A 10,202-nucleotide genomic window follows, 5' to 3' on the forward strand; every position below is an offset into this window, starting at 1 on the left:
GAAAGAAGTGTGCCGTTGTCCCTGACCAAATTACTAGCAACTATGTGGTCTCCACTCTACTGGTGGGAGGGCCATTGCTGAGCTGTACCCATGTATCTTTCTCTGTCCTTGCAGGCTTTGCATTTGTATTTGCTGAAAACAACTCTTGTAAAATATAGTAGGTGCTCTCAACCAGGGTTCTGGAATAACTGTTCCTATCATGCAGTATTTAATGGGCTTATTCAATGTATTTAATGACTCTCAAACATCATGTATGGTAGAGCTCACAGCTGTAATATGTTTCTTCTGTTTTTTCCTTTTATTTCCTTTCCACCATGTAGATTTTGTGTCCAGTATTCCTGTGTGGTTAGTCCTGTGGAATTTCACTTGTCTTCCCATTTCCATTAATTGTTCTCTGTCTGCAGTGGCTTCTGTCCATATTTGCATCTTGATCCCTGCTTTGTTACTGGATTTGCATTTTTAGAAAGTTTCCTAAGTCTTTAACTCATAATTTAGTTATTTTCACATTTCTTAAACTATTTGGCTAAGCAAATACATGTTCAAAAAATTCATGAAGTCTCTCGATTAAATTAATAAAGGCTCAGATAGGTTGTCTTTAATTGATAAATGCTCAGAAATAGCTTACTTCTTGTAAGCAATTTTGTGTCTCATATTTAGTCTAAAATATATGACATGTTTAATATTATATGTTATAGAAATTCTAAACTTAGCTGAAAATGATTAGCTTAATAAATCCTCAGAAACATGTATTACTTATAAATGATCTTAATCTGAATTTTACTGTTATGATTTATAAAACAATAAGCTTGCATTTCACATGATCACCAGAAGCTTGCACTAGAGGCTTGCACCAGCTGATGTGATCAAGAGAAAATCTCACCCAGCTGAACTTCAGAGAAACATACTTTAGCATTAAATTCTGGGGAAAGATCCTAGAATGAAAAAGGAAACATGAGAAGAAATTACCAAGATGAGGAAGCCAGGACAATCAGATAAAGCAAAGGGTAGAATTATTCCTAAGAAACAGATATCCTATTTTTCTACATATTTGCTGAGGTTGAGCTGGGGCCATAAATCTGGCTCTTCCGGACAAAGCAAAGAGGAAAACATATTTACTTATGAGAGTTACAAAAAAGTATCAGTTCACTCAGGAAAGTCACAGGTCTCCCTAGCAATGAAACCCTAGAAAAATTTCCTTTGTGGGTCCTAATGAAGGGAATATTGTGTAAGGGAGTGAACTACTTCCTCAGCAACCTCCTATATTAAATACCAAGGAGACTTAAACAGGATGCTTCTTACAGCATCCACAGCAGCAGTAAATGTCATTACCCACAAGGCAGCTCACAAAAAGTGGTCCATACGGAGTCAAGACAATGGAGTCCCAGAGTGCAGCTCTCAATTCAGGAGTAACTTGTAAAATTTTAAAAAGAATGGAGTTCCTTGTTCATTCAGTAAATATTTATTGAGTATTTGTGTGGGTCAGGTACTGTGCTGGGCATTAGGGAGGGAGCGGTGACAAGATAAATGTAGTTTCTTCCTGCAGAGAATTACAGACTTGTTGGAAAGATGAGCCAACAACCACAAAATATTGAGATGTGTGCACAATGAGAGGACCTCTAAACCCCAGGCTTGCAGCTCCTTGAAAGTCTCATGCCCAGTTGCTTTTCCCTTCACTTCATTGTAGCCAATCTGTTCTTGTTATCACAAACTACCTTGTTGCTACTGCAATCAGCACCACCTCTGGAATCCGTTTCAGAAAACCCCATCTCTGACCCATACCTCCTCTCCTAGCTCCAGCTCCCTGACATAGTCGTCAGCCTCATCAGTATCCCCAAACCATCAACCACTTGCTCATTATCTAGCCGACACCTCCTGTTTTTATTTTCCTTCTTACTCATTTAGATCACAGGGCTTATCATCCCAATCACCTCCTTGAAAATGTCCTCTCCTCCTTGACTCCTCTCTCTTCTGTCACACTTTCCTGGAATAAAACCAAGCCTGGCTGAGTCCAGTTTATCCAAACCTGCATTTGAAAAACTGAATATTACTGGGGGAAAACACAAACATAATCCTGCTGACCAGATGCACTTTAAACCCACAGTGAAAACCTGAACAAAACACTCACACCCCCTTTACGTTTCCCTAGTTAATTAGCCTCTCCAGCTTCAAAATGATTCCCTTATATCTTCTGTAGTCTCTCTCCTCAAACCTCCTTCAAATGTAAATTAAACATTTTTAAATGATTTTATGATTAGAAAAATAGAAACCATCAGATAAGAATGTATGCATCTTCCTCCCCACCAAATCCTTAAGTCTCCTTTATCTATATCTCTCTTCCTCCCCGTTTCAGTGGGAAAAGCAGAGTTCATCCAACAAATGCCATTTCCCCTTGAGGCTCTGGAACCCTGAGCCCCAGCACCTCAAAGATTTCCTCTCTCTTTGCTGCATTTCCAATCTCTTTCTAGTTATGGGTCATTCACATCAATGCATAAACATGCTGTAAGGTTTAGCATGGTAAAAACAAACACAAACAAACAAAAAACCAACTCCCTCACTCAATATCCCCCCTCCAGCTGCTATTCAATTTTTTCTTTCACATATAGTTAAAAAAAAATTAATTTCCACTTCTAAGAGTTTACTCCAATTTTACATCTACACAAAGGACTCCATTGAAACGTCTCTGAAAGACACCCATGTTCTCCGTGCTGGCAAATGTTAGGGGATGTTTCATATTTCATCTTAACCCCTAACTGCTCCCTCCTTTAAAGCCGCCCACCTTCTACTCTGGAAATACCACATTCCTCTGGTTTTCCTACTACCTCAGTGACCCTGTTTCTGAAATTCATTTGCCAGCTTCTCCTTGCCTGCCTGGCTGCACCTCTGATCTCTAGACCCCTATATTCAACTGCCCACTTGACACACAGGTGTTGGAAGGACAGCGGGCTGTAGGGTGGCAAGAGAGATGACAAGGGACAAGTCAGGAGGCTATTGCAGAACTCTGGGCAACAGATGATGGTGGTGATGGATATGGAGAGGAGTGAGTTAACTCAAGAGAAGTTTAGGAAGCAGAGTTATCAGAACTCAGTGATTGATGGATGCTGTGAGGGAAGGGAGAAGTAGGAGTCACAGATGACAACCTGGGCGGCATCATTCACTGAGATTGGAAATGGGGAAGAAAGATGGGCCACATATAATACATCCTTTAGAAATGTTCCAGAAACCTGGTTTCTCCCAGCTGAGCTTTTAAGAGGTTTTATTCCCCTGCAAACAAAACAAAACAAAAAAACTGATATGTAGATACTGTCCATCAAGATCCACACACTCTGACCATCCTTGTCTTCCAACGTTACATGGACCATGTTTATTTGCTCAGCACTCTGTCTCCAGTGCTAGCACTGCATCTGGTATACAGCAGGTGCTCTATGAATAGTTACTCAGTAACTGAAAACCTAGTTAGCAAACCCTTATGAACAGTTAGGGACTACAGAAGAATGGGTGCTTCTTAACTTCTCTGTGCCTCTCCTTCCTCATATATAAGATGAGAATATTAGTGACAAATTTCTCCTAAAGTTATTGTGGGAATTAAATATCATAATAAATGTAAATGCTTAGAGCAGTGCATGCTCAAAAGAGCTATTTTGATTAATAATATACATAATTAATAATAATATATTTTAGGAAACTTCTACTCTGCCATGTAGAAGGGCCAAATGACTTTCATGATTTTTTTTTTTTAACAGAAAACTGTGGATCTTCAGGAGAGTAAGACCTGGACTTTGCTGAAACTTCTGAGCTCTGCTTCAGTCTCCTAGGCGCAAAGACCTGGTCTCTATGAAGCTCAGTGTCTGTGAGACGCTACCATCATGGCAGCCCCCGTTCATGTTTCTCTTGCTGACCTATCCTCTGCAGGGGAAGCCAAGTCTGCTAACGGGGTGGTGCCGTGCGGACACTCAATGTTGCAGTTAAACCACATCCCTTAAGAAGGAAACCTAAGGTGGCTGCTCATTTGAGGTTCTCCAGTGGCCACACCAATGATATGAGTGTGAGTCCACATGCAGGACGATTTAATGGCTGTGCAGTCATGCTCAAAAGGTAAGCACAGAAGGCGGAGAAGGACAGCCTGCCCTTGAAATGAAACCTCTTGTTCCCTTTGTATCCAGGAGGAAAATCTCATTAGAAAGATCCTCCAGAGCCACAAAAATAAGCACATGCGTCAAAAGGAGGGCAGAAAGCCCAGGACACGAGGCGGGGGGGCGCTGAGATAAAAAGATTATAGCTAGAAAACAGCCAATCCCACCATCATAGCTGCTGCCTCATCCCTTCCACACTTTCCAGACCCCCAAACTTGGCGGAATAACAGGGTCTGCTGTGGGAGACTAAGAGGCGGCCAGCCCAGGGCTCAGTGCACTGCCGCAGTGCTCTGCCATCAGTAGCAACCAGCATTTGCCTGGTGCTCTGGGGTTTACAAAACTCTTTCATATAGATATAAAGGAGATAATGTTTTCAAAATGCCTTCCAACTTTTTTTTTTTTCATTTCCTTTTGCCTTATGGCTACCCACGCATTGAATCAATGGCATTCATTGCTTCAAGTAAAGGCCAAACACAGCCTAGAACAAAGGAGTCATTCCCCAACTTCAAGTGTCAAATGCAATTTTTTTCCTTCTATCCACAGAGGGCAACAGTTTTAAAAGCCAAGATTTGTTGAAGGAAAAAAGAAAGCATTTTCTAAAATCTAAAACTCACTGTTTACATATCAAGAGTAAAGTTTGGAAGTCTGAGCATAGAACTCTACCAGGCTACCGAGCAGGCTGAGTCTATCAGGGAGATGAAGTCACTGAAGGTAGAGTTCTTCAGAGGCTGTCACTGAGATGAAGTTGGGAGTACAAGATATTTATTGGGCTCAGGAACTGTGAGAGGGAGCAGGATCGGGAAGTGGGAGAAGTCAAACTTCAAAGTTAAGTCCAACAAAGCCTCAGCTAAACCAGAGGGCAGCTCCGAAATGAATATTAGCCACTAGAGCTGTGTGTCGGGCTGAAATGGCTGGGCTTTTATGTCCCTGCCTTACCTGGACATGGGCTGCCCTGTGAACCTCTTGCCCTCAGGTGAGGTGGCTCCCTGCTGCTGAGGAGTGCATGAAGGGGCTGTGAGCTGGCACTCATAGCAGCTGGGGTGACATTCCTTCCTCAAGGGGGATCTGGGAGGCCCACGTCCATGTAGACCACAGTGATCTAATAGTTTCAGAAAGAACTGGAAAACGAGAGAGAGAAAGGCAAAAGGTGAGATTTGTGTGTCCTCATGTTCTAGAAAAAAAGTAATATAGTTCTAATTCCTTGGACATATCTAAAACAGCAGCCCAGCAGGCCAAAACGCAAGGACCCTTTTCACAAAGACTTCTGCAGGTCATGCACTCAGCAGACAGACTTACTAGGAATGGCCATAGTTCCAGTCCCAGGAACAGTCTTGGACTGCATGGGCATGATGTACTAAGCTACTCAGATTACAATGGTCAGTCTTTATGGTCAATTCTGCTCCTTGTTCTCTAGCCCCACACCAGCCTCCTCTGCAACAACAACTGCAACAACAACAGAGATATGACAGCCTCCCTCTCTCATTGCTAAGGAAGGACTTCAAAGCACACTGAGTAATTTGCATTTCTTATCCCAGGACAGAGAGAATTATAATAAAGCATTCGTTGGCTTTTTCTCTTCAGGACCAGAGTCTTGTATGTTCAGTTCTTTGGCTTTTGAGTTCCAAACCTGTAGGAGAACTTCTAAGCCCAGCAAATTTTGAAGCATCCCTGATGAATTCCTTCATCCCGATTATTTATAATAAAGGAGGCATTAATCTCCCCACACAGGGATGGCAGCCTTCACATAGAAGACTAAGGAAAAATGATGGTGCTAACTCAGACCCTGAGGGGTTTATTATATTAAAGTGAAGGAAATAAATCTCCACACTCTATTGTGTTTGAGTCAGGGCCCCTCCACTTCTTGTTCTCACTGGCCACCCCCTCAGAACCCCCTAATGAAACAGAGCTAGAGGAGAAAATGGCAAAGCCAAGCAAGAGGCCTTTTTCCAGATCACTCCTTAAACCACCACATACTGAAACACTCAGGAAAGGCTTTTATTCAAACTCTGAGAACAAAGGCAGAGTAAGGCTAGCACAAATGAAGTAAGAGCAACAAGTATCAAAGAGCAGAGGCTAAATATCCAATTCCATTCTGTGTAAATACAGCTAATGAAAATGTCTTATCTGTTAATTTTTTCCCCAGCTGATGGCCTGCCCAATGCATTCAGTTTCATTGAGAGTTAAGGACTCTGCCAAGTTCTACTAACATAAAATGTGCTCTCATACAGTAGTACAGAGGGAAAAGGGGTTGATATTTTTGTTTTTTTATCACACAGCCTAAAAAGCATATGGTATTATCCACAATGACTGTTTCAGAAAGAATGGGGAGGAAGATTTTAACCCAGATTTGGCAAGCTCTAAAATTATTTCCACTCTAAAATATTGTTTATTTTAAATAATATTTGATCTGCAAAACTTGACTACTGCCAAAATAATTTAAACTCCCCCTTAGTATTTAGAGGACTAGAAGATGCCTTCCAGTGAAGGAAATAAAAAGTATAACTTTGAGAAGACAGTGAAGACCTCCTAGGAATTGAAAATGTTTTAGACAATTTTCACAGCATTGGAGCCATACAGCAGTAAAATTAGACCAATCTGAATTGGGTCGAAAATTAGGAATGTTCACTCATGCTCTAAACCAGTGCTGAACCCTGGTTTTAGTGCCTAACTTGAGTCTGGGAAAGGACAAGGGTCTGGGGAAGTTGGCAGGTGCCTTGTGAATATGTGAACCATTGAGTGAAATGCCATTCAACACTCAGTCATGGCTGTGGCTCCAGTTAGAAACTCATGTGATGGTTAGAGACAAAAAAAAAAAAAAATGACACTCAGTAGATAAGATGAAAGCTCCTAGTCGAGCTGATGCCCATACTGACCTCCTGTTCCAGGATCCTGAGGGAAAGCTGCCCATGCAACAGCAGCAACTGAGGTAATGAAGGCTCCACATAACAATGCATTTACATTCAAAATCCACTCTGCTCCACATTGTTCTTAGCAATCACTCACTCATCTTGCTAAATGTTACCCACGCGATCTGACTCTGCATGTTTACATTGCAAAAGGTAACTGTGAAATATGTACATTGTTTTCTGCGTGTATATTATATATTCCAGTAAAAAATTAAAAATAAACAAGTAATATTGACAAGCTGGAGTCAGAGTATGGGATAGCCCAAGCCATCTGCTTCCTTTCCCTGCCTTAGTCTTCATAGTGATCAGGGACGCCTATGGAAGCCTTCATATTGAGGGATAGGGATGCAGATAATAAAGTGCAAGGGTGATCAACATTGCGAATTCTTCATTCAGTGGCAGAGTCAGAATGCCTTTTCAAACGACAGATTTCACAGGCCTCCTAACACTACATTGGCCTGTGTTCCCTTCAAGGGAAGCTGGGAAAGCCCAACCTGTGTGGAAGCATCAGCAGGTGGAGCTGAAGAGCTAATGGAGCCGCTGAGTAAGGGGACATCTCAGACAAGTGCTTCCAGAACTGGGCAGATGGCATTTTGGATGAGATAGAAAGGCAAATGTACAAAAAACCCTGCGGAGTCCTAATAAGATAAGCGAGCAACAATAAGGAAGGGGCCCCAGGTCGGAGAGAATAATTGTTCTGAGAAACTGCTAATCACAGACAACCTGCAGACATGCTGTTTCCAAATACCTCATTCACATGTAGACCCCAGCAGCAGGACCTGATCTGCATACCTTATCTGCATGTACCCCCTCCAATATGACCCCATAAAACTTCCCTCCAGCCCCTGCCTCTTTGCAGACAGCCCCTTCTCTGCTGTGCTGCCTGTTGCACCCTTGCAATGTATCTTCGAACTTTATCAAATCTGCCTTTTTTTACCTATAACTGTCCTGGTAAATTCTTTTACCACCCATAACACCGGCCCCAGCCAGTCACACCCTCAACAAACTCAGTGTGTTATTACAGGGTCCTGTGGATGTTATCAAATAAAATTCAAGGTGGACTAGCTTATCTACTTTATACATTCATTCAATAATGTTTATTAGATACCCAGCATGTGCCTGGCACTGTGTTGTACACTGGAAGTGCTGTAGGAAATGAGGTAGACATGGTTTCATGCCCTCATGAAACAGATTCTGAGGAGGTGGCTCAGCTTAATAGTTAAGGATATTCATGCACTTTGGCATTAGACATACCTTTGTCTACATCCTGGCTTTTTCACTTATGAGCTATGGATCCTCAGATCTTGGGTAACTGACTCAATCAATCATCTATAAAGCAGGGCTTAGCAATATTCACCCCAGTAGTTCCCCACCCTCCTAAAATCACATAGGAATTTTTTTTAATACCTATCCCTAAGCCATCCTTATAGATTGTGATTCAATTGGTCTGGGTAAGTACCAAATCATCAGTAATTTTAAAACCCACCAGACACATCTATTGAGCAGCCAGTGAGAACTACTCCTCTATTCATTAGGGTCTGTGGGGGAACTGTACTGAATAGTGTACGTGAATACCTTGTGCTTAGTAAACATGTTAGCTTTGATTCCCAAACATCACAGCTGCTGTCTCACTAATCAGAGGAATCAGAGGCCCAGGTATATGGGAGAAGACTGTTAACCTGAAGCTGGGCCATGAGCAAGTAAGAGCTGAAGATCATTCTAATGGTTTTTCCCTAAGGGGAAAAAATGACTGCCAGTCTATAACTTGATCACAGCTAAATAACCACCGCTGTGTTGATTTTAATGGGTAAGCTAACTTGGCTATTTCAAGAGATGGCTTATTTATTGATTTATTTAAATTTCCATTTTTACTACAAGCCATTCAGTGCTTAATATTGTTTCATACTAGCAAATGCTAATTAGGAGTAGAATTAAGAACATATCTTAGAATCATATCTGACCCAGACCTTTCATTTCACAAATGAGAACAAGGAAGCCCTAAGAAGTGAAGTGATTTTCCCAAGGTCAAACATCCAGCAGGTGCAAAGTTTTGTTTCATTTGTTCTCAGCACAAACTTGTATAACAATTTAGCTGTATGCAACTTTACATAATACAGATGTTCTTTAATTTATGGTGGGGTTATGTTCCGATATATCCATCTTAAAAAACAAAACAAAAAAAAACTATCCTTTTTGTATAGTTATTTTAAAGAAACACATACATTTATCAAAATTTTTAAGTAAACGAAAAGTCGTAATTATAAAAAAGAAAATATAAGTCAAAATGCAGAAGGGTTCCCTAATGGTTGTATTAAATAGAATCTTCGTAAAGCAAATCACATGTGCAGTGTACTAAAATAATTTTCTGATTAAAGAATACATCTATGAATGCTTTTGGTTAAAAACAAAAAGCTTTTTGAAGATGGAGACAGTGGTTATATGGTTTTCCAATCTCTCCAAATTCCTACATAGAAATAGACAAAGCAACTAGGTAGCAAATCCAAAGACTCATGGACAAGAGTGATAATTATGTCAAGCTACCCCTATGAAACTCAAATACAAATGAGTGGGGACAAACTATCGTTATGACACCAAATATGCATGGTATCGGCTTCTATGAGAGAGAAGTACAGGATGGGCACAGGGAATCCGACTGACCTGAGAAATGGAGACCCCAAAATACACAACAGGTATTTGTAAAAGTACCATAAGACAATTCGAGAACAATAGCTACAACTATAAAAGGTTTGGCTCATTCCAATAGCGGGTGAATATAGAGGTCATAGTAAGGTCTGACCCATATGAACCCTCAAAACTGATCAGCCAGAGCTCCTTTCAGCACAGGGCCCAATGCATGGAGGTCTTAAACTACACATTGAAACTGCTACCCATGGCGGAAAAGCTAACAGGATAGAGACATTTGAGAATAAAGGGAAAGAGAAGATCCAGATAAACACAGGCGTGGAGGACTGTTGACAGAAAATCTCATGCTATTTTGGAACAAAATAACAAAGTCATGTTATTTTGGAACACTGTAAGAAACAATGAAAGAGGGAGCTCTGCGAATTGAGAAAAGCCACAGTGAATAACGCTTTCTTCTAAAAGTTCAAGAAAAAATAATTTTCTATAAAAATGAGGAAAGAAAGGCATAGAGGTTAAAGCCCAC

The 10,202-nt window shown here is 41.0% G+C and overlaps 1 long non-coding RNA gene across 1 annotated transcript; it reads right to left on the minus strand.

Moving 5' to 3' along the window:
• Positions 1-1,443: 1,443 nt before the first annotated feature.
• On the minus strand, positions 1,444-5,248 carry LOC124903485 (uncharacterized). Its single transcript, XR_007064619.1, has 2 exons — positions 5,067-5,248; positions 1,444-2,023 (listed from the first exon to the last, which is right to left on the minus strand). It is a non-coding gene; the product is annotated as an uncharacterized LOC124903485 (long non-coding RNA).
• Between the last annotated feature and the right edge of the window lie 4,954 nt (positions 5,249-10,202).

Source organism: Homo sapiens, chromosome 15 (assembly GCF_000001405.40).
Source record: "Homo sapiens chromosome 15, GRCh38.p14 Primary Assembly".
NCBI classification, from domain to species: domain Eukaryota; kingdom Metazoa; phylum Chordata; class Mammalia; order Primates; family Hominidae; genus Homo; species Homo sapiens.